Source organism: Homo sapiens, chromosome 3, assembly GCF_000001405.40.
Source record: "Homo sapiens chromosome 3, GRCh38.p14 Primary Assembly".
Classification (NCBI taxonomy): Eukaryota; Metazoa; Chordata; class Mammalia; order Primates; family Hominidae; genus Homo; species Homo sapiens.
This window is the reverse complement of record NC_000003.12, coordinates 54,183,964-54,211,546: the sequence shown is the minus strand read 5'-3', so window position 1 is coordinate 54,211,546 and position 27,583 is coordinate 54,183,964. Positions and strand designations below refer to the sequence as shown.

At 43.3% G+C, this 27,583-nt stretch overlaps 1 protein-coding gene across 1 annotated transcript in view, besides 2 other annotated features; it reads right to left on the bottom strand.

The window, feature by feature from the left end:
* The window catches only part of CACNA2D3 (calcium voltage-gated channel auxiliary subunit alpha2delta 3), a 952,006-nt gene that overhangs the window by 863,011 nt on the left and 61,412 nt on the right, over nucleotides 1-27,583 (bottom strand). The gene's annotated exons all lie outside the window — the stretch shown is intronic.
* Nucleotides 7,812-8,313: an enhancer, noted in NCBI's record as "H3K4me1 hESC enhancer chr3:54237261-54237762 (GRCh37/hg19 assembly coordinates)". NCBI's record gives its function as "activates a minimal SCP1, AML or CMV promoter by ChIP-STARR-seq in naive H9 embryonic stem cells {active_cell/tissue: H9 hESC(naive)}" and the evidence as "EXISTENCE:reporter gene assay evidence [ECO:0000049][PMID:30033119]".
* Nucleotides 23,071-23,365: a silencer, noted in NCBI's record as "tiled region #13251; HepG2 Repressive non-DNase unmatched - State 10:DNaseD, and K562 Repressive DNase matched - State 10:DNaseD". NCBI's record gives its function as "represses a minimal TATA promoter and a strong SV40 promoter by Sharpr-MPRA in HepG2 and K562 cells {active_cell/tissue: HepG2 | K562}" and the evidence as "EXISTENCE:reporter gene assay evidence [ECO:0000049][PMID:27701403]".

Sequence of the window (27,583 nt, the reverse complement as noted above, 5' to 3'; positions counted from 1 at the left end):
GGGTATTAACTGCTGCAACCCATCTAAGAGTCAGTTTAGCAGGATCTATCAAAATTACCAGCACACACAGCCTTTATCCCTACATTTTCACTTCCAGTAATCTATCCTAAAATAAAAGTGCCCACAGGTGAAATGATGTATGTGCAGGGTATTCATGGCGGCACTGTGGATAAGAGCACAAGACAAGTCTCTCAAAGGGACCTGGTTAAAATTATAACAACCATTCACACAATGTCCTACTGTGCAGCTATAAAAAGAACCAAGGAAGTGTTTGCTTTGATATTGGAAGACTTCCAAAATGTATTCTTAAATGGAAAAAAAGCAAAGCTTGTAGCAACATGTATAGTGTGCTATCACATGTTAAAAAAAAAGAGGGGAAATAAGAATATATATTAGTAGTAGCTTGTCTTTGTATACACATATATCCACAAGGATAAACTAATATCAATTATTACCTATCTGGATGGAGAGTGATTATTGGACAAAGGGAAAAGAGGTGAGAGATGAGCTTTCTGTGTTCCTTTTCATACCTGTTTGACGCTTAAGACATATATATACTACCTCTTTTAAAAGTTAAACAATATTCATGTACACCCTGTCATTATATATCCAGTCCAGTTAACATATCCCTCCATTAAAACATGGGTACCCAGTCCCCCTTCTCAGGATGCAGCCTGGCAGTGTTTTACACATTACCAAGGACTACCAGAACTCACCACCTCTCTCTGCCTGACTCTTAGTCTCAGCACAGGTCAGGGAGGCACAAGGGTAAACCTGGATGGCAGACTCTTCAGGGGAACAATGAACAACAGAAGGCTGAGGAGACCAAATCTCCACACACTTAATAAACTCTCCCAGGCGCTTGTGTAAATTATTGCCAATCCCAGGACACTTCCCTCCAGGACATGATGGCCCGCATTTCACTGTCTTTCCAAGTCCATTACCTCATCTACTCTTCCAGCACCCAATCCTTGTCTAACAGATGAGGAAACTAAGTCTGCAGAAGTCCGGTGACCTTACCAAGTTCACATATACTCCCAGATTTTTAAACATATTTTTTCTTACACCAGTATGAGCTATCTTAAACACACACACACACACACAAACACACACACACACACAAAAACTTTGCACAGTGTATAGATTTTTAAAATAGATTTGCTAATTCCCTACAAGGAAGTACACTAGGCAATCTTATTACCTAAGAACTGTTTGATTAAACTTACTGGACAGTTTTTCTTAAAAGAAGGTCACCTCATTGTTCCCAAACCTTAGATGTAATTTCTCATCATCCTAGTTTGACATGATAGAAAGTCACAGCTCAGAGGCCGGGCCACAGGTGCCACCTCTGGGCTCATACACTCCTCTCCCCACCACCCCACATCCTCCTTACTGCTCTACTTTTTTTCCATATCACTTATAACCTTCTAACAAACGTTGTGTTTTCTTATTTATCATGCTTGTTGCCTTCCCCTCACTGAATATAAGCCCCATCAAGGTATGGATCTTCTTTTCTGTTCTCTGAGAGATCCTAAAGGCCTGGAACAGTATATAGTAGATGCCCTATAAATATGTGTAAAATCTACCCCAAATCCATTCTCAAACATCCCCATAAACTAAAAGAGATACACATGCAACATTCATCTCTAAAGGGATTCCGATTTCTAAACAAACTGCTTAGATATCTGATGACATGGTGGTGGCAAAAAGAGCACAGAAAATTTATACAGCAAAATAATAAAAAGTTTAAGATCAAAGACGTTTCTAGACAGCCAACGTATACTTTAGAACATCCTCTGGAGGAGGCTATTAAGGTTATGTTCCATTAATATAATCCAAGGGAACTGCTTGAGTCCAGGTTTGAAAAATCTTTGTTCTTGGAGCAGACAATGAGATGAGAGATTCTACCATTACTGACTACGGCTCCTGTCTTTCTTCCATCAGAGTTAAAAGCCTTTCACATTACGCTTTTCTTTAAATAAAGTTGTAAAGGAGCATACGTTTGGAACAGAACACTGAAAATGTAATTTAATGCGTGAACTCCTTTCAGCCTCACTCCGTACAGAATCGGTACAGGGATAATTACTTTTGACCTCTATTTTCATTAGCTGAAAGTTCTGTTGAAAGTTCTCTCACATCTATGAGACCCAGCCCCAGTTAGAGTGTGAGTCTGCAGCAAGATCGTCAGACACAAAGGGCCAGGAGGGTGAGGCTGGCTGGACAACTGACTTTATTGAAAAACTCTTCTAAGGACACAAATGACCTCCCAATCTTGTTTTGTTACATCCTCCAGGGTCTCCAATTATTTCGATGCCTATCTTGAAATCTTCCAAAAATTATGTGAGTCCTTGGTTCCAGTGAACTGACCACATTCTGAGACTTCCCTTCTGATATGGTTTGGCTGTGTCCCCACCCAAATCTCTTTTTAAATTGTAGCTCCCATAATTCCCCCATGTTGTGGGAGGGACCCCGTGGGAGACAAATGAATCATGGGGGTGGTTTCCCCCATACTGTTTTCATGGTAGTGAATAAGTCTCTGATCTGATGGTTTTATAAGGAGAAACCCCTTTCATTTGGTTCTCATTCTTTCTTGTCTGCCACCATGTAAGATGTGCCTTTTGCCTTCCACCATGTTTGTGAGGCCTCCCCAGCCACATGGAACTATGAGTCCATTAAACCTCTTTTTCTTTATAAACTGCCCAGTCTCATGTATGTATTTATCAGCAGCATGAAAACTGACTAATATACCTCCTCACCACATTCTCAACACCAAATACATTGTGATAATTGAAAAAAAAAAGGTTTTTTAATGACCACCTACACAGTGATGCTCTAAAACAAGGAAAGCAGACCCATATAGACCAGAACTGGATGTGCCTGTCCAAAACAAAAGAAGCACGGCTATACTCCATCAAGAAGAGAGACACCTGAGAGTGACAAGGGGCTGGCACTGGTAAGGCCACACAGGGACTAGGCCTCCCTAGTCTCTAGTCAGAACTGCAGGCTCTCCAGGGCCAAGGCAGAGGCCATTCAGAGATTGACAATTCCATACCATAAGTGCCTTCCAGCCCAGGGCTATTGGAAACCAGCTCTATCAGGCAGGTACCTGAAGCAAACCCACATCTTGAAAGGCAGTTCTGGCCAGGTGTGGTGGCTCACACCTGTAATCTCAGCACTTTGGAAGGCCGAGATAGACAGATCACTTGAGGTCAGGAGTTTGAGACCAGCCTTACCAACATGGTAAAACCTCATCTCTCCTAAAAATACAAAAAAATTAGCCAGGCATGGTGGCAGAAGCCTGTAATCCCAGCTACTCAGGAGGTTAAGGCAGGAGAATCACTTGAACCCAGGAGGCAGAGGTTGCAGTGAGCCGAGATCGCACCATTGCACTCCAGCCTGGGCAACAAGAGCAAAACTCCATCTCAAAAAGAAAGGCAGTTCCATGAACAAGATCAAACAACAAACAGAGCACCAGAACACACTCACTACTCACCCATTTTAGAAAAGTAAGAAATGTATCACAAAATCAAATCGACAACACTGAGCTGTTCAAACTTCCAAAGGGGACATGAATCACTGGACTCGAGTGGCAGGGGATGTGGATTCACACTGAGGCAGTCACTCAGCCAGCTGGGCTGTAGATCACTTTTCTGGATAATGGATAAGTGTCATGAGAATAGATGCACCGAGATAGCTAATCCAAAGTAATCTTGTGGAAATGCTTGCTGACAAGCGGCCCTATCTCGTGGCTCCCATGATGAAGTGACACAGAGAAGAGATTCATCACTTTCCCCTCCTGCCATAAGCACCCTCCTCACTCCCTAGTGACCACGCTCCATGGCCCACTCCCCATATGGTGGAATGTGCACAGAGCCCAGTCCGTGACATTCCCGAGGTAACTCAGACAAATGCACATTTCTCCTCTCTGCTGGCTTGGAAGACTGCTACCTGGAATCTTACACCAACATCCATTCATCCAGGAAGGTTAGCAGTGGGTTTGTGCAAGGGAGAGAAATGTATCCCTCCAAGCCTCAGGTACAACATGAAAAAATACCTACCAATAAGTCCAAGAGAGATTTTCAACTTGGTCTTAAATGGTCTTAAAAGCATAATGTATCCACCCGGATTACAGTGGTGTCAAATCACACAGAGGACACAGTGGTTCCAGGTCACGGGCAAGCCCAGCTCTGCCACTTGCTAGCTGTGTGACCTTGGCAAGTGGCAATATCTCTGAGCTTCACTTTTCTGGTGAGGAAGATGAAGACCCTAGCACACGTCTCCCAGCATTAGTGAGACTGTACATGTAAATTAATTTGTTGCCATGCATACAATTAGCACTCAGCACATATTAGCTCTTGTGGCAGACACTGCCTAGAAGGCCCATTCTATCTGAGCACCCAAGAAGACTACATTTCCCAGCCTCCTCTGCAGTGAAGTTAAGGCCAGATGAAGGGATTCTGGCCAGTGAGTGGCAGCAGAAGCAGGCCTGACTCCTACCACATTATCACCTACCCTGTGTCTAGTCACTGTTCATGGCTGACTGGCAGAGTATGCCCTGTCAGGGGCTATAGGAAGTCCCTAGGGAAGAATGGAGCCTACAGATGAGAGGGACCCAGGTCCCCAAGTCACTCCTTGGAAGAGAACTGCATCAGATAGTCATGACCAAGAAATAAATTATGTATTATGTTAAGTTCCTGAAATTTAGGGGTTGTTTCAACAGCCAGAGTTAGTTACCCTGACTAATTCAGCTATTATATGAATCTTCATTTATCAGAAGTAGCCAAATCCCTAAATAAAGGAAACAGGAAAAGGAAATGCAGGAAGGAAATAAAAACCCCAAGCTTACTGGTATAGCTTACTGGCATAAAAGTAAGCCTACTAGTATAGCTCACCAGTATACCAAACTAAGCTTACTGGTATAGCTTAGTGCAACATGGCTGCTACATAGCTTAGCATTAGCCTCACCCTCTCAAGGTTGGGTCGCGGCAGGGTTTCACTGTTTGAGTTTTTAAGGCTGATCAATATGCCTCAGGAGAATGCGTGTGAGGGAGAGAACCATTATAATTTGGAAAAGCCAGTAGTAATGAGACCTTCCTCCCAGGACACAGAGTCTCTAGAACTCTTTTAAACACCATCTCAATAGAGTTTTAGTCTTCTAACCTCATAATAATCTGAGCTCAGCTCAAAATTTTCCCCTGGGTTAAACCTGTTTGACCTCATCCCCGAGCATACAGACAGAGCCACCGTTTCTCAGTGTCTCATAGCCTCAGGACCCTCAGCCAGCACTGTCATTGTTCAGAATTTCTAGGACTCTTTCTTTACTTTTACATTAATATATGCTTGCAGCAGAACATTTCTAGAAATGCGAAAAGAGAATGAGACCACTCCCCTTTCCCAATGAAGTACCCAAGAAGTGCCCACAACTAAGGTGCACCATCTTCGAACGTTTTCTATGTATAAATAATTATACATTCTATTTATTTTCATCAAGGTAATACATACATATAACACAGGCTTGCCAAATCGATTAAGCAACCAATACAGGGTGCCCAGTTACATTTAAACTTCAAATAAACACCAGATATATTTTTGATGTAAGTACATCCCAAATATCACATGAGCGTACTTACAATTTTAAATATTCACTGTTTATCTGAAGTTCAAATTTAACTAGGTAGGCATCCTGCATCTTATCTGGCAACCCTAACATAAACTACATTGACTGTTTAATACAAGAGGACATCCTCCACCGCAACCCTTTCTTACCTCCCTTTCTGTGCCTTCCTCCCCGACTCAGCATCACCCCATTCCAGCCCCAGAGGGACTACTTTCAACTCTTTTTGCTCTTTACCTTGGTGTCTGCCTCCAAGTTGCTAAATATCAAGAATGTTAATATGGCTTATCATCAATTATAGGCATTATCAAGTGATGCCCATTGTGGTAAATGAAGGTTTAGCTCTCACAACAATGCCCTACTTCCTCTCCCTCCATCTCCCCAACAGAGTTATCATAATTTTCAAAACATTCAATAATGTAAACACTGGCCATAAACACATTTTCGTTGCTAAGCCAGGGAGTAGGCCATAGTTATATTTCCTTCCTTGTACAACTTTGCTTTTCTTAGCGTTATGAGCTGCTTTAAATTTTCACTTGCAGCTGGGTGCAGTGGATCACACCTGTAATCCCAGCACTTTGGGAGGCCAAGGCGGGTGGATCACCTGAGGTCAGGAGTTCGAGACCAGCCTGGCCAATATGGTGAAACCCCGTCTCTACCATAAAAAACAAAAAAAATCCCATCCCCCATTACACTAGGTGAGTCCTCCCCATCTTGACATTCCATCTGTTCTGGAAGGCTGCTTTTTATATCTGTGATAACTTTCCCCCCTCTATTGTTATCCTCACGTAGCCGTGGTTAGTCAGGTGTCATGCCACCTAGATCAATCTCCTGGCTTCCTATTCATCTTTTACCTAACTCCATGTCTTCATTATTTTATTCTACTTATGGGGAATGTTCTTAACTTTATCTCCAGACCATCTACTGGATTTTTTATAATGGCAATCACTTTTCATTTCCAAGTCCTTTTTCTTATTCTCTATGTTTTTTTCTAAAAAACTTTCTGTTCTTGTTTTTTACCTGCAATATATTCTTTCATCTTTGAGGAGATGGTAAGTTTTTCCATTTTTTTCTCCTCTTCCATGTCTCCATTTCTTTTGTTTTGCTTTTTCTTTTTTTTTTTTTTTTTTTTTTTTCAAGACAGCATCTTGCTCTGTCACCCAGGCTGGAGTGCAATGCTGCGATCTTGGCTCACTGCAACCTCCACCTCCCGGGTTCAAGCGATTCTCCTGCCTCAGCCTCCCAAGTAGCTGGGATTACAGGCATGTGCCACCACATCCAGCTAATTTTTTGTATTTTTAGTAGAGACAGGGTTTCACCATGTTAGCCAGGCTGGTCTTGAACTCCTGACCTCGTGATCCGCCCACCTTGGCCTCCCAAAGTGCTGGGATTACAGGCGTGAGCCACCGTGCCTGGCCCCATGTCTCCATTTCCCTGGAATTCCTTTTTTCTGATTGTTTTCACCTCTCTCTTTCACATTCGTGGCTTTCCTCAAGGTCTGGTTATCCTTGATGTTTGTGCACATAGGACTGGGCACTTATATTAGCCAAGGTTCTCCGGAAAACAGAAACAGAGCCATATACATATGGTTATATATATGGTATATACACACACACACATATATTTCCATACATATGTGAATGTGTATGTGTATATATATATGGAGATTTATTATGAGGAATTGGCTCATGTGATTATGGAGGCTGAGCAGTCCCACAATCTGCCATCTATAAAGCAGAGACCCAGAAAAGCTGGTGGGGTAATTCGGACCAAGTCTGGAGACCCGAGAATCAGAGGACCCAATGGTAGAAATCCCAATCCAAGGGCCAAAGAAAATGGTATGAGATGTCTCAGCTCAAAGGGTGAGGCAAGAAAAAAGGTGTGAGTTCCTCCTTATTCTGTCTTTTGGATACAGGAGCAGGCAGGAAGTGCACAGTAGAGAAGGGCGGGTCCCTGGCTAGGGTCCCACTCCCAGGGACCTAGGTGAGGACAGGCACTCTTGCTTTCGCGCCCAAATGTTGCATTTTCCAAGACGACCCTAGCCCGCCATACCCCTGTCATGGGCCTATAAAAATCTGAGACCCTAGCAAGCAGACACGCAGGCAGCCAGACGTCAAGAGGCACATCAGCGGAAGAAGACACAAGCGGCCGGACAGCGAGAGGACATCGAGGAAGCACGTCGGCAGAACAGCACACCGACAGATGCCAGCACACAGGCAGGCCACTGACCAGCGGGATGAGACGGAGTTTGGCCGAGGGAGTTGAAGGAGAACTGGGGCCACACAGTGGCCCAACTCCAGAGGAAAACCATCTCCCTTCTGGCTTCCCCATCAGCGGAGAGCTGCTTCCACTCAATAAAACTTTGCCCTCATTTTCCAAGCTCATGTGTGATCAGATTCTTCCAGTATACCAAGGCAAGAACCCGGGATACAGAAAGCCCTTTGTCCTTGCAACAAGGTAGAGGGTCTAACTGAGCTAACACAAGCTGCCTACAGATGACAAACTAAAGGAGCACCCTGTAACACACACCCACAAGGGCTTCAGGAGCTGTAAACATTCACCCCTAGACACCGCCATGGAGTCAGAGCCCCACAGCCTGCCCATCTGTATGCTCCCCTAGAGGTTTGAGCAACAAGGCAGTGAAGAAGCGAGCCACACCCCCATCGCACGCCCTGCGAGGGGGACAAGGGGACCCTTCCCGTTTCATTTTGTTCTGTTCAGGCTTTCAAAGGATTGGATGGTGCCCACCCACATTGGGGAGAGCCATCTACTTTACTGAGTCCACTGATTCAAATGCTAATCTCATCCAAAAACCCTGTCAAAGACACATGCAGAAATAATGCTTATCTGGGTACCACGTGGCCAGTCGGGCTGACATGCAGCTGATAGCACCCAAAGCTGACTAGAAGCTCTACATGTGTGTCACCAGCCATGATCCCCAGACACAGTCGTTTTCTCCAGAGAAAAATCCTCCCAACCCTGACCCGGTGAGTTCACTTTCTGCACTTAACATACACTCTCCCCTAAGCCTTGCTTGACAGCAGAATTTCCTCTCCAAACATGGACTCTTTGGAGAGTCAAGTAGTGGGGAGAGAAGGGACACTACTGATAACTACAATTAATAACTATTAATAACTTTCAGGACATCAGACATAAACCAGGACTCTCCTGGGACATATATGGTCTTCTTACCTATGTCTATTATCCCCAGTTTCCTGGGTTTTTTTGCCAGGAACTGGGGAATCAACAGAACTCTCACTTTGTATACATTGTTTCTCTTTCAACCAAAATGAATCCATGCATTAACTGGATAATTAAAATATGTGTCCTGATTAAGGCTGCCTTTCTATTAATCATAGTAAATAGACCACAAGCACTTCTCTCCTCTCCCTAAAATGACATTTTAAAAAACAGTGAAGGAAGAAAATGGGTATATCAACTCACAGTATAAGGAATGGGGAAGCAACTGCAACAAACAAGATTCATGCATTTTAGAAGATGGCATGAAGAAGACGTGGTAACTGGGACTTGGGGCTGGATTCTTCCAGTCTAACTGCCTGCAGCGTGAGACAGCCAGATGAGCTCACAGAATCCTGAACAGGCTTAGGACACAGAGGTGCCCCACATTTCAGAAACCAGCAGTGAGTTGCAGGGTCAAAGGGGACAATTGGTTGAATGCCTATTTTCAGGGCAGCTGGTCCCAGGTCCCTTCTGCACCAAGTGCAGTCACATGACTATTCAACTCCCACGCTTCCCTTCCCGTTCTGCACGTTGTAGGGTGGATTCCCAGGCTAGGGGTGCCAGATAAAACACAGGAGCCCAATTACATGTGAATTTCATATAAACAACAGTATTTTCTATTAAGAGTATGTCCCAAATATTGCATGGCACATGTTTATATCCAAAATTATGTGTTATTTATCTGAAATTCAAATTTAACTGAGTGCCCCATAGTTTAATTTCTTTAATCTGGCAACCCCATTAATGAACAGAAAACTGTTCATTAATTCTTTTGAATTCACAGAGTTCTGATGTGCATTAAATGTCATTTTCTGAACTGGATATGGTCAAGGGGTCAGGAATTGCTGGGATGAGTTCCCTGTTTTTATACCTTTGTCCAACTTATTTTATCAAATTTATTTTAAAGAATGAAACGATTTCTCTGTTGTCAATTCAATTTTTTCCTTTACAGTTTCTTCTATTGCTTTTAAATTGAAAATCAAATACACATTTGGCTAGATGATGATACAGTCTTTCGATAATTTCATTCCTTACATTTATTTTCTTAATCTATCTGGAATTTATTTGGGGTATAATATAAAATGAGGTTCAAACTCAAATCTTCTACCAAATAGTCAGTTGTAGACTATTTACTAAATAATCTTACAATTCCCTATAAGTGATTTGAGGACACCTAAAGGTGTAAACATTTACTGAACACGACCCATAAGGGTTGGAGTCTACGTGAAATGTTCTTTCCATCAATCAATAATTCTTGAGTTAATGCTATACTTCTTTTGTTACCGTAACTTCCAACATTAGAGCAATATTCTTATTCAAATAAGCCAAGCTTTCCCATCATGGCTCTAATTGTTTAAAATTTCTTTAATTATCTCATCTCAATATTCAGCACTTTTCGAAGTATATATAATGCTAACTATAATGTGTAATTTCAAATTTTCTGGTAGCTGCTTTAAAAGGTAAAAGGAAACAGGTGAAAATAATTCCAATGATATATGTGGTTTAATCCAATATATACAAAACGTGATTTCAACATATAATCAGTATTCCGAAATTATGAAAGATTTCACATTCGTTTTGCTGTACTATGTCACCAAAACCCAGCGCTTATTTCACATTTACAGAGCGTCTCATTTCAGACCGGCCACACACTCTCAGGTGCTCAGTAGCATTATGTGTGGCTCAGTGGCTATCACATTGGACAATGCAGTTCTAAGTAAACCACAGGATCATTTCAGCAAGTTGCTTCTCCCACAAAATATAACAATAACAATTTTGAACCATAAAGAAATATTTTCATCTTAAAATCTCAACAACAACAAAAAAGTTCCTATTTTCCAAAGCACTTGTCTAAAATGTTTAGAAAATAGGGAAACAGGAGACAAGTCTACAGGGTCAATATAATCTCAAAGCTATTCAATCCTAAGTAATCAAATGCTATGAAATGCAATACCCTAGAACAGTTCTCCCTGCAGCTTTGTTCCTACTCTGGCAATTACAGCAGGAATGGATGCTGAAATGAGAAAATCACAAATATATGCTAGAGATCGTTTGCATTTTATTTTACCTTGATGCTTTCCTCCCAGCTGGATATCCACCACTAAAGCTGGAGATGGAACTGATACCACAGAGAAAAATCAGCTCAGCATTCTATGTTAGGAGGCACTCGGTGTATTTTATTTGATGGTAAATTATTCCACTTCACAAATATTCTCCTTACTTCTTTGAAATTACTTTTCTCCTAGTTGGTGTAATAATTTAAGGGGCTGGGGCAACAGAAACTTAATAGAGCATTTTGTGAGAAATTACTGAAAACCACAAATTATTTCTGCTCTGGAACAGCTACCCAGCATGAGGTCTAAACCCAATCTGCAACACTCAGATATGTTAACACAGAGCCTGGGCATGGCACTGGGGACTTCAGGATGGACTACCCACCCAACCACCCACTAGCTGTGTAACCAGGGGCAACCTCCTCCCTTGCCTGGATCTCAGCTACATCAGCTACAAAGCAAGAGGTTGGGTCTGATTGGAATTTTCCAGACTTCAGCCACTGATGTGCCAAGGTCATGGTATCTGCTCTGTCCACATACCTCCGATTCCACAGGTAAACCTTTTCCTATAAAGGGCCAGATATTAAATAGTTTCCACTTTGTAGGCCAATCTCCATCCCACTGCTCAACTCTGCCAGGATAGCACAAAAGCAGTCATACCTAGCTCACACACAAATGAGAGGCTGTGTTCCAATAAAACTTTATTTACTAAAACAGAGGCAGTGGGCTGGATTTGACCCTGAGATCACAGTTTTCTGACCCCTGCAAATATTGTATTTATCAAATATTTTTATTTTAAAATTGACTCCCTTTCTTTACCTAGTGTTAATATCATACATGGAATACCAACATAATTTGCCATAAAATCTAGTGTATTCAGGGAAACAAACACAAAATACTATTTTTAACAATTGCATGCTATCACCTCATGTGCTGCACTTGGATAAATGTTCTTTCAATGACCATTAAGGGCCTCTGAAGAGCAAAGGCTCTAGGATGTTCTCCCTTAAGATTCTCTCATCTAAAAAAGAAGAAAATAGGAGTTCTAGGACAGCCTGGGGAACATGGCAAAACCCTGTCTCTACAAAAAAAAATAAAAAAATTAGTGGCGGGAGGCGGAGGGGACGGGTAGCACGTGCCTGTGGTCTCGGCTACTCAGGAGGCTGGGGATCGCTTGAGCCTGGCACGTAGGGGTTGCAGTGATCCAAGACCACACCACTGCACTCCAGCCTGGGTGATGGTAAGACCCTGTCTCAAAAATAAATAAATAAAATTTTTAAAAAGAGAAAGCAAGAAAGAGTCCTCTTTTAGAGAGGTAGACCGAAATATTGAGAGGTAAGATGACAAGATGACTTAGAACTGCTTCAAAACTACACAGGGACAGGGTAGGAGGGCAGTGGGGATACAGAGGAAACCAGATTTGCCAAAGAGTTAGTAACTACTGAATTTGGGTGTTTTATTAGTCTATATTTTGTATATGTTTAAAGATGTAATAAAATAAAAATTGTTGAAAGAAAATTATACTGAAATAGGGCATACAATCATTAGCCTTAGGAGGAGAGTCAAGGAGAAGGTGAAGAAGGAAAACAAGAAGTGAAGGCCAGAAATAAGGGGTTTATAAGAAAGAAATGATGAGAAAAGAAAAGGGATAGGGACAGGAAGAAAAGAAATGGAATAAATGTCCTCAGGCCAGCAGCCTTCTTTTCCACAACAAACGTTAAGGAGCAAGACATCTAGGAGCTCCCGGCCACGGCCATCACTCAGCACAGAAAAATCCGTGGAAGAACAAAGGCTTTTGAGAATGGCCTGTGCCGACCAGACCTGTGCACTCAGCGTCTAGCTGCAGGGAGGTCTGGCTAAAGCCTGGGGCTGCAAGGACGCCACCAGGCAAACCCAGAGAGGCAGTAACCCCCCGGGGCCTGAGGGACAGTGGCATGGCCTAGAATCCACAGATATGAAACCTTGAATCCCACAGTGCTCCCAAGCTGAGTGTCTTCCTTTTAAACAATTCCACACGAGGCTCAGTGCCAAAGCAGGAGAACAAAGCCATTTGATGTGCTAAAAATTGACCAATTTAATTTCATTGTCCAAACATACTGGAACTGAAGCATAAAAAGTGGGCAAATGGTACAAATGAACAGAGCCCCACAGAGCGGCTGGCCCATCAATACTCTATTGAGGTAGCCTGGCCAAGAGACCCCAGCTGGTATACGGAAATATTCGGGGCCACGGGAAGCCAGAGGCTCTGGCCTCACATCAGGCTGTTGTCCCTAGGTAGCTCCTAGAAGAAGGTTCAAGATACATGAAACTGCCCTTAGAAAGCCCAAGTTGGCACACAGGAGTCAGGCCTTGCAGGCAATGGCGGGTTCACTGTGTCAGGCCTCTTGTCCTCAGATAGGCAGAGCCACAAGGAGCCTATTAGAGGATGGGGGCTCTTTTAGGTATTACAAAGACAAGACACACAAAGACAGTGGTTTGCTCCCGTCCTTGTTATGCACAAGTAAAGAACAGAACCAGCCTTTTAGATCTTTTAAGGTGAAAAAAAGAAAAGTCTGATAAGAACAAGGCAGCAGTCTGGCCTCTGACTCTCACTTTCCTTGGAACTTCACGCATGCTATTTTTACTTTCATCACGTCCAAAGACACATACAACATCACCTTCCTAATCAAAGCCCCAGCAGAGATGCTTCACCTCACAGAGAAAGCAGCTCCCAAGTGGTCTCTAACACCCCAAAGCTAGAAACTTTTAACTTCAGGTTGGAGATAGGAAATGGGGAAGGAGGAATTTCAGACGTAGCCTTCAAAGAACGTGCAGAAAACCAAAAAATGGAGAGAAGAATATGGAAAGGATAGGCGACTGTTCCACTCAGTTCCCCTCACAGACTGTAACAGCTCACAAGACAGCAGCTCCCAGCCGCCTGCAGATCAAAGGCCCTCATACACAAGAGCAGTTCCCAAAAGGTGCCAAGTTCCTAAACAAGTGTGAGATATTATGATGACTGGCTGTGAGAAACCAACACACACGGCTCAGGGAAGGAATTTTACCTGCAAGTCATCCTCCCGGCTTCCCTCAAGAGATCAGTACCAAACCAGAGAAAGAAGATGGTACCAAAAATAAAAATTAAAACTCACTTCGAATAAGTTCTGCTACTATAAAGATGCCAGAGGTGGACCCACACTGAAGTCAGGCAGTACACAGTTTCCTGAAAACTGAAAGGAGAGGAGGACTTGAAGTAGGCTGTCAGCATGTTCCTACAGATGCTTAAATATTATGGCAGCAGACTTGAGGTCACGAGGAAGACATTTCCTGCCATCCCCCAAGCCTCGACTTCTCCAAGGCCCTTCTCAGGCCCACCCAATACATGTCCCATGACATTTTCCATAGTTCTGCTTTTCTGCTTGAAGAGCTGATGGAAGGAGACAGCGACAACTGAGACTAGAACAGCTTTTTAAAACTTGGCCCTTTCCTGCTCAGGAGGATGAGGCAGGAGCATTGCATTACTTGGGCTCAGGAGCTCAAAACCAACCTGGACAACAAACAGAGATGCAATCTCTTTAAAAAATTTAAATCTTGAAGATAAAATTTAAGAAAAACTTTGTCCCTTTGTGTAATAAATTTTAAAATTGTTTACTAAAAGTCCTATTATAGCTTTTATATAAACATTAGTGGGGGAAAGTAAAACACGTTTTACATTGGATCTCATAAATAATGCAAAAGGTCTAATTTACCATAATCATGTCTGGCATTTATCTTCCGTCGATAATGTATCGGACGCATGCATTATCTTACATAGAAGCAACTGCAGGGCAGCAGAACTGCATCTGCATTTGGAATTCAGTAAATTCCAATGCCCCTTGAGCCCATGTGCAAAAATTGCCATCTCCAAAGACATTCACCTAGGCAAAGCCTGGAAATGTCATTATTTTCTATGTGAAATTAAGTGGGAAATTACAGAAAACGCAATTTAAATGAGGACTCTTTTCTGAAACATAAATATTCATAACTTGCAAACTGACAAAGCCCTGCATATACCATAGGAACCACTTTATAAGAAGAGCTGATTCTTCCAGATTCCGTTTGTCAGTGACAAGATAATTTTCATAGCAACAAATTAACATCTCAAAGAGAACTGGGAGGGCTGTGACGTGGGCAGGAGGCAAGCTGGGGTCTAGCAAAGGCTTTCCAGACTCAAGTTTTAACTTAACGGCTTCCCTGTGAAGATCCATCCATCAGGTGTCTTTCCCAGAACTCACTGCCCTCCTGCCCCTTAAGAGGCCTTATTTTGTACAGAGTGGTTCTTCATCTGATGAAGACTGCCTTTTTAACCAATCACTTTGTGACATCTTCTTTACTATCCTGAAATAAAAGTTAGATAATATCAACATATAATATTTTTTAAAATCAATAGTATGTCCAACCTATAATATAAAAGAGAATCAAAGGCAAATGGTTTAGAATAAAGTAATACGTATTTCAGTAGACAAATGCTTAGGCATAATGATACTGAAAGGCATGGCAAAACAGTCAGATGCTTCCACCTCTACAGAGCATCAGGAAAATTCAACAGCTACAAATGCCAACCACACAAGCATATCTTGATGGCCACCAACATTGTCCTCGGTGATGTGACTCCTCCAACACACTAACTCAATGATCAATGGCAGTCGTGCTCCTGGAAAATTCAGTGTTTATTAAAAGTATGAAATTGTAAAATGTGTGTTTAGATTAGGTTCTAGCTTCAAATAATTATGAACAGGGTTTTCACTTGCATAAATGTCCAGCAGGATCTCTGCTGCTCATGAGGGGTGTGGGACAATTCCCCACAAGCAGGGCTGCTGTACACACTGAAGGATGCTTGACATCCCTCAGCCTGGACATTAAACACCAACGGTGTCCACCAAACCTGTGAAAACCCAACGCTGCACCACAAAAGTCCAAAGAAATGTTGCCACCATCACCATCCCCACGTCTCCCTAGACCTGGACTACCTGAGCAGCTTCTTCAGCTCACTAGCCCCACAGGACCTTGGGCACCTTACTCAACCTCCTTGTACCCCACTTTCCACATTTACAAAAGTGGGGACTATAACTGCATCAACTTCACATGGCTATGAGAAGGTAATGCCTTAATACTGTAAAAGTTTTGACCACCACACCTACACCTTCAATAAATATTACATAACATGATGCTTGTGTCTATCATTGCATCTCTGTGTCAGACTCTCTTTGAGCTAAAGCTTAATGCAGAGTAGCCAGGTGTAAAGGAAAGCAGAGATGGGTGGGAGTGAGCTTTGGACAGAGCTGATGGTCAGTGGTCTAGCAAAGGCACAGACGCAGAAATAAGCCAGGGTGGGGAGGCATGTTAAGGAACTTGGACTTGATTCTTAGGAGTCAGAGTTTTCCTCCAGATCACATGCATCAGAATGCCCTGGGACAACGGCCAGACGGCTGATTCCTGGGCCTAACCCAGACCAAATGATTTGGACCTCTGGGAGGCGGGACTCTGGAATGTGCATATTAGGAAACCTCCCTCAAATAATTTGGATGCCCTCCGAGGTTCAAGGGCTGGCTGTAATTGACAGGTTATCATGTAAGACTTAGCATGGGAGTGACCACGTTGGATGGGTGGCCATGTGAGAAAGATCAGAGTAGGTACAACCGGCGAGAGAAAAGCCAGGCAGGAGGCCCTTTCACAGAAGACCTAAGTGTTGAGGGCCCTACTATGGTCTAAATGTGTCCCCCCAAATCCATGTATTGGAATGTAATGGCCATTGTGATAGTATTAAGAGGTGGGTACTTTAGGAGGTGATTAAATCATGAGGGCTTTGCCCTCAGGATGGGATGAGAGCCCTTATAAAAGGGCTTGAGGGAGTGGGTTCACTCTCTTCCACATTTCCACCATGTGAGGACACCTAGTCAGTGCCATCTATGAGGAACGCATCTTCACGTGAAACCAAACCTGCCAGTGCCTTAATCTTGGACTTCCCAGCCTCTAGAACTATGAGAAAATAAATTCATGTTCTTCATAAATTACCCAGTCTCGGGTATTTTGTTATAGCAGCAGAGCCAGACTAAGACAGGCCCCATCCACATGGTAATCAAGACAAGAGGAAGGAACAGCCAGGAGGAAGATTCCAGAGAGAATTTTGGAAAGACAAGGAGGTGGGAGACAGGAAAGAGGGAGAACTGGGGCTGGTTTCTGACTTTGGCCATTATGAAATGGTCCCATCATCATGTCCCTGCTTCTCAATTATGACTTTTTTTAACTACTTTTAATCGACACGTCATATTTACACATTTTATGGGATAAAGGTAACATTTTGTTCCATGCATAGAATGTGTAAGGATCAAGTCAGGCTATCAGGGGTATCCATCTTCTTGCATATTTATTATTTCTATGTGTTGGGAACATTTCAAGCCCTATCTTCTAGCTATTCTGAAATATACAACACATTGTTGCTAACTATAGTCACCCTACTCTCCTAACATTAGAACATATTCCTTTTAATTGTATGTTTGTACCCATTAACCAACCTCTCTTTATCCCCCACCACCACTCACACACCCTTCCCGCCCCCTCGTATCTACCATTCTACTCTCTATCTCCACGAGGTCAATTTGTTTTTAGCTTCCACATATGACTGAGAACATGCAACATTTGTTTTTCTGACAGCTTCCATGTTTGAGAACCAACTATGGGCCAGACCCTGAGCTCTCAACATCCCAGTGAGGCAGATAGTGTTCTTCCCATTTTGCAGGTGAGAAAATTGAGGCACAGAGAAGCAATGACTTGCCCACTGCCACATGGTCCATAAGTGAAGGAAATGAATTAGAACCTAGGTCTCTCAGGCCATGGAGCTGACACTCTCAACAACAACACATTGTAATTCAGCCTCGAAGGAGAATATTCTTCCTGCAACAAACTCATCCAGGCTGGGGGTCCCTCCTGAGACTGGCACAGCCTAGTGGTCCTCAGTGAGAGCTCTAGGGATAGGCTGCCCAGGTTAGATAGCCACCCACTGGTCCCAAGACCTCAGGAAAGTGACTCCTTTTTTCCTCATCTAGAAACTAGAAATAATCATAGTGCCTGCTTAATGGGGCAGTTATGAAGATTAAATGAGATAATGTTTGAAAATATTTTAGCAAGCACCTGGTAATTAGAATTCAAATGTTTACTATTATGATAGTATCCAATGCCACTGTCAGAGACAGAGGAGAAGCTCTAGCTAATTCCAAAAAGACTGAACCCTGGAAAAAGAACTGGCTACAACATGCAATTTGCAAGAAAATGAGCAAAAAGCCCTCTGCCTGCTTTTGTTTACTGAGTAATTGGTCACAGCATGACTCTGCTGCTGGGTCACCTGGAGCAGCCTCAATCATCCCACAGCCATAGCCATGGACTCTAAGGAATAGGGACATAAAGTCCCACCACCTGGGCTGAAACCAGGTTCCAACTCACCACATAACTGGGAAGTATCACTTCACCATGAGAGCTTCATGCCTTCACCTGTAAAAGGGGTTCGATAACAAAAGTTCCCTTCTCCAAGGGTTCTTGTGAGGATTAAATGTGAATCATTTAGCAGAGCGCCTGGCCAAGGTTACATGCTGAAAAACTATAATCATGAATAGCCTCCTCATCCCAGGTATGGGGGAAAAGACATTTGAAGGATAGCCTGTGCTGGGCTGCGGTTAACATTATTTCACTGCTGTCGTAATTCTTAAATTCTTCCTCCCCGTCATGGGTCTCCTACATGATCTGATTCTCCCTGAGGAATGAGCAGCTCTGCTAGCTCCATAATACCTGCTCCATTTGAAGTCACTTTCCCTTGCACCAGCTGCAGTGCCATTAGTAACCCCTGGTTCATTTGCTGGGCTGAGATACCTGGAGGGCAGCACTGATTGTCCCCAGAGAATAATCTACAGCAGCATGGCGTGAATACACAAACACACACACACACACACACACACCTCACATATGGGAAAAGCATGTAGGGAGCTGAGACCACTTCATGGCTCTCGTGCTCATTCCCTGCTTTACAGGAGAAAAAAACAGACTCAGAGAAGAGTCATCTGCCCAAGACCCTGAAGCTCCAATGCTCTACAGCATGTACTCTCTGTGGACAACTATCTTCCCCCTTAGGTGTCTGGGTTTTCAATAACCCAAGGGTCTGTTTGGCTACTGCTATGGTTTTCACATTTACACCAAAGAATACTGTGCATGTCACACCACTCCTGTCTCAATTATGTGTTGTCACCTGCATGTTGCATGGTGAAACTCAATATCAATGCCCTGTTTGCAGAAGGAAAGGCAAGCTCCGTTTGTAACTGCAAGCACTTCCCCTTTAGCATAAACTCTCCACAGTGATATATTCTTGTCAAAACACATCACTTGTGTTAAAAATAAAAGTCTTCTCCTCCACCCCCAAGCAGTCATTAAAAGAACTTTCTGGAAGTGGGAGGATGAAGGACCACCCACTCTTGATTCACTTGGCACTGCTGACTGACAGGGAATTAAAAAGAAAAAAAAAAAAAAAGCACTGCATCCCAGGTTTCCTCATTATTGATGGCACAAGACATTCTAAAGAAAACTTGCAGGGAGACCATGAATGTGCTAGAAGGCAGCTGGCAGGTCCCAAATAAACCCAAACCTCCTCCAAACAAACCGCCTCAATGCCAATGCATCCTCAGAATCCCCCCACTTCCCGGTTCAGGGGAGACACAGTGGATTTGGTGTTGTTATGCAATATAATCAACAACAGCAACAGCTAACGCTTTTGGGGCCCTTCATTGACTACCGGATCTGGGCTCTGTGTACATTCTCTCTTCACGGCAGCCCTGCGCAGGTAGGGCTCCTTATCTATCATTATTCCCAAACATCAGAAAAGAGAGGCCAGAAGAAGTTACAGAACTTGCCCCAATTGCATGGCCCTGACACCCAAACCCAGCCCTGCCTAACACCAAGCTCAGCTCTTCAAAGCCAACCTGTCCATGAGGGAGGCTGAATTTGCCACTCCCAGCACCAGGCACAAGCATGAGAAGAGACTGTATCACCGATTTCCTTGTACTCGGTCGGTTCAACTTGAAAACACAGACAAAAAACAGCCCATGGCATTCCAAGGCACTCCCTGGGTACTAGATTACAAATCCATTTAAGGGTTTGGACTGCTCAGCATGCGTATGAAACTGAAAACACTAAATTAGATATGATGATGATGATGATGATGATGATGATGATGATGATGTTGATGTTTTAAAAGAAAAGGCATTAGAACATTAAATATGGCCAGAAGGCAGAAAAATACTCATTTTAAAATCATTAATCTGATGTGATCTGCCATCACAAAAAACCACTGAAGATTACATGTTTGTCCCAGAACACTGTCCCTGCTTGTTGAGACCACTCCACTTCTGCTTCTCTTTTAGTGAATAGAAAAGGCTGCTGCATCTAAGCTTCAGGGTTAACCTCCATTTCCCCGGAGCAGGAATGTGTTTTGGCCTCATACGAGTTCTTCAAAACTTTCTTTGAGTGGGTTTATCGTGACTGATTAAAACAAATCCAACTCAAGAAAGGCACTTTTTTTTTTTTTTTTTTGCTTCCACCTACATTGATCAAGTAGCAATTCAACACCATATATGATGGCAGGTTCTGGTATTATCCCACTTCATCTTTATGACAGTTCTGGGGCGGGGGTCCTTTTTTTGTTTCCAGACAGATAGCCCCATTTTACAGATGAGAAAACAGAGGCCCAACGAGGTTAAGTCTTTTATCCAAGATCACATGGCCACTAGGGAGCAGAGTCAGAATTAGAATTCAGCTCTACAGACCCCAACACCCTGTGTTCTGTCTAGTGGATCTCGACACTTCTGCAGTTGCAACTAATGTTTGTAAAATGTATCTGGAGTATTTTACTTATAATCTTATAAGGAGAGATTGAAAAAAAGAGATTTACTTTCTCTGGAAGCAAAATGGCTCACTGCCAATGGCATCAAAGTGAAAGAGATGGGAAGGCACAACAGCAGGAGTATTTAAGATTCATGTCCAAAGGTCTCTATAGACAGAAACTCTGATAGTGACATGCTTAGAGATTTCAGCTGGGGCTAAAAATCAAACGTACAATGATGTAAGGTTTTAAAACTCTCAATTTGGGGAAGGTGGAAAGTGGTGTGTGTGCTGGTGGCAGGGTGAGACACCACTCACCTAGAGCACAACCTTTTAGCCACCATCAGTAGGTCCTAAACTTGTGTTCTTCCATTCTCTCTCCCTTCTACAGAGGAAAGCAGATTTAAGAAACATTCACCCTTTCTGGGTACCTCACCTCACCTGCCATTGACACTTTCTAATAACCCTGCTTCCAGTAAGGAATACTGTAGCATGGCCTAAATGTGTGTGTGCCCCCGAAATTCATGTCAAATTCCTTACTCCCAAAGTGATGGTATTAGGAAGCAGGGCCTTTGGAGGATGATTAGATCATGAGGGCTCCACCCATAGGAATAAAATCAGTGCCCTTATAAAAGAGGCCCTGAAGAGCTAGCTCATTCCTTCCACAGTGAGGACACAACTAGAAAGCTCCATCAATGAACTAGGAAACAGGCCCTCCCTTGATCTCGGACTTTCAGAACTGGGACAAATAAATTTCTGTTGTTTATAAGCTACTCAGTCTGTGGCATTTTGTTACAGCAGCCCAAATAGACTAAGACAACTGGGCAAACAGCATTTATGAGAATGGGTGGTGATGCTTAAAGTTTAAAAAGTAGAAAATTATGTGTACTCATTAACTTTAATGACATAAGAAAACAACTCCTTTTGTAAACAATCTAAGGTGAAGGCACAACACGTTTGAATTGTAGCTGATGGGGAAGATAGGCCTGTGTGTGGGATCTGACTGCTGAGATCAGGCCTCTGGTGAATGGTGCCCAATCCAGTGGGAAGGAACTCCCAGCAGACCTCTCCAAACTGTCAGAACTCCAGACAACTTCCTCCTGAAGCTAGGCAAGAAGCACCCCTCATCCCAGCAATTTGCCAATCCTACGTCCCGAGAAGCCCAGCTTGCCAGTCTGTTCCACCTCACACAGCATATTCAACTAGCACCACATGGTGATGACCCTGCCGTCCTACCTCCTGGGCTCTAGATCTCAAAGGACATGGAAGGATGGGATAGCAAGGAATAAACTTGTCTGGAGAGCCACAGGACCACTTTCTGCCTTTGTGCTCGACTTTGGCCCTGTCCCTAAATGGTCTTAAGGTAAGACTATCTACCATGGAGGAGAGTTATGCACCTTAATTAATGGATGGAACACCCAAGCCCTTTCACAGTCAGAGATGCCACACACAGTATCAGTGAGCTGGTCTCATGGGAAGCCTCTTCTTAATCCTTTCAGCTATGACTATCCAAGCAAATATGACTCCCCACACTGGGTCCCGCTAGGAACTAAGTTCTTACATAAAAGCTTGCTGGTCAATACCCTGGCCAAGTAGAAATGAAAAGATTGGGATTTATAACCACGAAGTCCAAGAATTGCTTCAATAAATTTCAGCCCTCATTTCCCTCAAGCAGGGGTTACTTTAGCTCATGCTTGTAATAAAATATGCAGAGTTGTGCCTGAGGCTTAGATGCCATGGCTTCACTTTTGACTCAGGCTGGATGTATTGCAGGAGTGAGGTGGGGAAAATTCCATCAACTTGTCAAAGTCAGTCAAAGGCCAAATCCATTATCCTGAGTTGCTGGGGACAAACACCACAAATGGTATCAGAGGGGTCTGCCAAGTACTAAATGAGTGACGCTCTATATTCCACAGAATTTGGCAGCTAATATCACCACTAATGCCATTCTAATGATAAGCAAAATAAATATATATCCATTTTGGAAGTTTGGGGTTTGTGGATCTATTAGAGAAGGGGCCCTGTGTTCATTATCTTTGACCTGAAAAACTCATGAAAATCTCTTCTATATGAAGGAGCCGACAGTAAACTACAGCCGTGAAGCAATTCTCTGGCAGGAAACCCAGCAAACATGGCCTCCCATTTGCTCCAACAGCAGGAGCAACCCTATGGTTGGATTCCAACTCCAAGTGGTCTATCACAGGAATACATGGACTCTGAGGCACCTGGCCACCAGTCAAGAGGTGTCGTAGCCTAGGCTGGTCAAGCATGGCATGGGTGCAGTCCTGAGGACATCATGAACACAGACTCTGCCGAGAACGCTATTCTTACAACATTCAGCACCCATGAACCACCAAGGAAGGATTTACAGGTCCTGAAGCTGGACAGGTTGCATGTCGCTGTCCTTGGTGCTGAATCATTACAGCTCTCCTCAGCTGTGCTATCCCTACAGGGTAATTCCTGCACAGCCTCTCCTGCTACTGGTTTTTTTGTTTGTTTGTTTGTTTGTTTGTTTGTTTGTTTGTTTGTTTTTAAGTTCTCCCTTTCTAAATTGATAACAGTGAGTTGCAATAGAAAAGATGGAAAAAGCACAACCATGACCTACGCTTAACAGTCTATACAATGAGTTCTGTGTACATATGTTCCACAGCTAGATTAGAGTGTTCTGAGCAGCTGGTTGGGGGAGCACATACCCATGTTGATCCCCTGATGCTCTGTCTGTGGACCTGACAGTTATTTTGGAGTTCGACTCTCTTTGATAAGAGTGCCTGGCACCCTCCCTCCCTGTATGATAAACATCAGGTCATCCTTAAACACCCAACCCCCGGACCACGGACCACGGTACTGGTCTGTGGCCTGTTAGGAACCCGGCCACAGAGCAGGGGCAAGTGAGCATTACCACCTGAGCTCCACCTCTGTCAGATCAGTGGCAGCGGTGGCATTAGATTCTCATAGCAGCATGAGCCCTATTGTGAACTGTGCATGCGAGGGATTCAGGTTGCACGCTCCTTATGAGAATCTAACTAATGCCTGATGATCTGAGACGGAACAGTTTCATCCTGAAACCATCCCTGTACCCCTTCTATCCATGGAAAATTTGTCTTCCACAACACTGGTCCCTGGTGCCATAAAGGTTGGGGACTGCTGCCCTAGTCAATCATGAGCTCACCCGGGAAGCCCTTCCTGACTGCCAGTCCCCATTCCAGACAGACAACTAGCGATGCCTTCCTCCACACCCCACAGTGCTTCATAGATCCCATTACCCTCCAGCCCTGCAGTTCTGGGTTTGTGTGTCTACTTCCTTTATTCAGATGTGCTCTCCTTGAAGAAAGGGCCTGTATTTTAACAAAATTAAGAACACAAGTGCGGTGTTCAATTATTTCAATTGTCAAGCCTTTAAAATCTCTGTAGTTTCTGTCTACCCAGTTGCTATGAGATCAAAGCAAGAGACAGACTTGGTGGTATTCAACCGAGTATATTAAGTTTTATTTGCTAACATCTAAGACAGCCCAGGAGGCCTATCAATCCCTCCAGACACAGATACAGTCATCTGGAGGCTGAAGGCCAAGATGTCAAGTGACTCTTCCAAGGTCACCCCGTTCATCAGCAATGGCATCAACACAGGACCTGCTCTCCCTGCAAGACTCTGAAAGTCACCGCGTCCTACAGCACTCCCAGGGACAGCAGCAGCAGGAGCCCAAAATGCCGAGAGATTATCTGATTCCCAGCAGCAGACTCAGAAAAAGTGGTCACAGTGTCTCTTGTAGATGAATGGCATTCAGACCTCTGGGAACATCAGGCCAGCCTTTCCTTTCCCTCCTCACTAGGCCAACTCAGGGTCATGGCCACACCTGGAGCTTGGCAGGGCTTCCCATTATGGAGGAAGGCAGGAGCAACGCTGTCCTGGCTTCAGAGATGGAGAGGCCTGCCGTTGGTGAGCATTTTGGGTTGGATCTCAGATTTTAAGGTCTCATTCCCATTTAATTCACCCACTTTATTTTAATATTAACTCAGTTAATTTTTTTTTTCAGAAGACATAAGGAAGGAGAGATATCATAAATCCAGACACAGCAGAGAGCACATTAAAAAATGCAGTTCTATTATCTTAAAACTAGAGATGTAATTAGAGCAGTCATGTAGTATGAAGAGAAATTACCAGAAAAAATATTGTAAAGGCCTGGGTGAAAAGAGAAAAAGGTCTATATCACTTAATCTCTAAAAAGTAAAGAAAGAAGGAGAAAAATACACCTTCAGATCTTTCAAATACTTCCCCAATGCCCCCTAAATTATCATTTTCACCCAGCTTTTCTGTTTTACATGCATAATTTACCACAGTGCACACTAGCCTCATTTCTTTCTTTCTTCACCCAAGATGCATATATCTTGGGAGGATGTGGAATTCACCCCTAGATTCACCCAACCGATCTGTGTCTTTGGGGATACTTAAAATTACTATTTGAAAAGAACACTTCCTCCTGCTATACTTACTATTAACTCTAAAATTTCATCCAAGCAAAACACAACACAACACTGTATCAAGTTATTGCAACATCATATTCATTCACCAAGCTCACAGTGAGTGTCTGCAACTTGCTGGGTACACCATCCTCACCCTCATTCCCATCCTCAGGGCTGGAGATACAGACTAGTAATAAGGTCTCTGCCCTCCAAGAGCTCAAAGTTGGTGCCAGGACTGGTAAAGAAAGGAGTGATGGCAGCACAGTTGCTTAGGGCTGGAACAGAGGATACAATAGAGATCTGGGGGAGGATGGGAGAGCAAACCACATGCTGTCCTGGAATGCAAGAAAACCTCTGAGGGAGAGATGCTTAAGGCAAGTTAGGGAGGCTGAGTAGGGGTTATTGAATCAAAGGAGGAGGTATGCATTACCTCCAGAGGAACAGCAGGGAATGTGCAGCAGTGTGATCAGCAGACCAGGTCATCAGATCTAACACAGGATTGGCAAACTATGACCTGCAAGCCTAATCCAACTGCTGCTTGTTTTTGTAAATAAAGTTTTATTAGAACACAGTCATGTCCATCATTTAATATTGTCTATGGCTGCTTTCACACAACAACAGCAGAGTCGAGTATTTGTAACAGAGACCTAGAGAGCCCAAAATATTTACTACCTGGCCCTTTAAAGAAAAAATGTGTTGATCCTTTGGTCTACAGGATTTAGTGTTGAATCTATAGAATAATATGTTCGTGAATAAACATAATTTAACCTTTAGATGTCATGTTACTGACCTCTAAAAATCTAAAGCCCCATTCTAGAAGTGTGCTGCAGACAAATTAAAATTTTGGATCTTAAATAAGTTTGAGAGATGCCAGGGTAAAATTAAGCAGGCTTCTTTTTAAGGACTTCTAAGAGCCCTTAATGTGCAAATACTTGGGAAAAAATTAAAGTAGAATTTCTCAAAATTCTTTGCTCCAAAATCTTTTTGTGTTCCAAAAGCTCCTCTTCTGCCAGAAAAAAAAAGTTCAATTCTGATGTAAGTATTTCTTTTTGTACCCTAAAGAGCTTATGTGTCAGGGCAAAGCAGAGCTTGGAAACTTCTATAAGCCATTTAGAAGAACTGCAATCTGAAAAGTACAACAATCACAACTTATGGTATTGAAACAGGTTTTTCCATTACTTCAACCTTCTAACCAATGGGTTCATTACTATCCTGTCAACAGAAGAATTTCAGCATTTATGAACAGAACTTACAGGAAACATACACAAACCCCTCCCACTTCTAAGGCACAGGACCTTTGGCTCAGACCTTTGGGGTAGTCACACAACGCCAAATGAATCCTCCCGTAAGGGCTTCCCTACCTAGCCTACGTCCCTGGTCACTAAGAAGTCATTACCCTCGCTAATACTAGAAATGGTTGGGGCTCTCACCTCAGAATGTTGCTGACAGAGATAAACATTGCAACATTCCATTGTTTGCTCCAGAAAACTCCAGAATTTCAGTTCCAGAGGCAACCTCCCTCCATTTCACCCACATTAACTACTCTGAATCAAAGAAAAAACAAAGAAATGCAAACCAAGAAGAGATAAGAACTGAAGAACCTCATGTCCCCAAATGGATTCAATGCCATCGAGTATGATAATAACCCACATAAACCATAAAGTACTTCCCCATGGGATGGCCCATTTCACATGTCAGCCAGCCATGAAGGCAAGGGAAAGATGAGGTAGGGGCTGCACTAAGGCCTATGTATGCTCTGGGGATTGGGGAGACAAATGTCCTTTTCTCCTATAGCCAATGCTAAGCACAGCCTGGGTTCAAACCCAGACCTCAGGACTCTAAGCTCATGATCTTGGGCAAATGACCCAGACTCTCTAATACTTCATTTCTATGCCTCTAAAATTGGTGATGGGAGGATGGGGGAGGGCTTAAGGCCTTAGCACAGAGTAAGTGAACACACATAGGAAGTGGCTACTATTCACTCAATTATATAAACATTGCCTACCTGTAGTCTGGGGCTGCAGCAATGACCAGAGGCAGCGCACAGCCTGAAGGGTTTGTCAAGTGTGCGCCAAATGTTCCGACAGAACCTCTAGGGCTCCAGCTTTCCCCAATCAGCCTGAATCTCTGATCACTCTGTTTTCCCAACTCTGTAAGAGTACTTATTTCCTGCACTCAAAGAGATAGAAAACAACATGTGCTTGTGCTCATGACAATTACCCTGCCTTCAAGCTTGACCTGGGACAGCTGTGTCTCATTGAAAAAGACCATCACAAATGCACCGGAATGCATGCCATGGAAAAAGCAGATGATTCCTGCTTTTTGATTCCACAGTCAA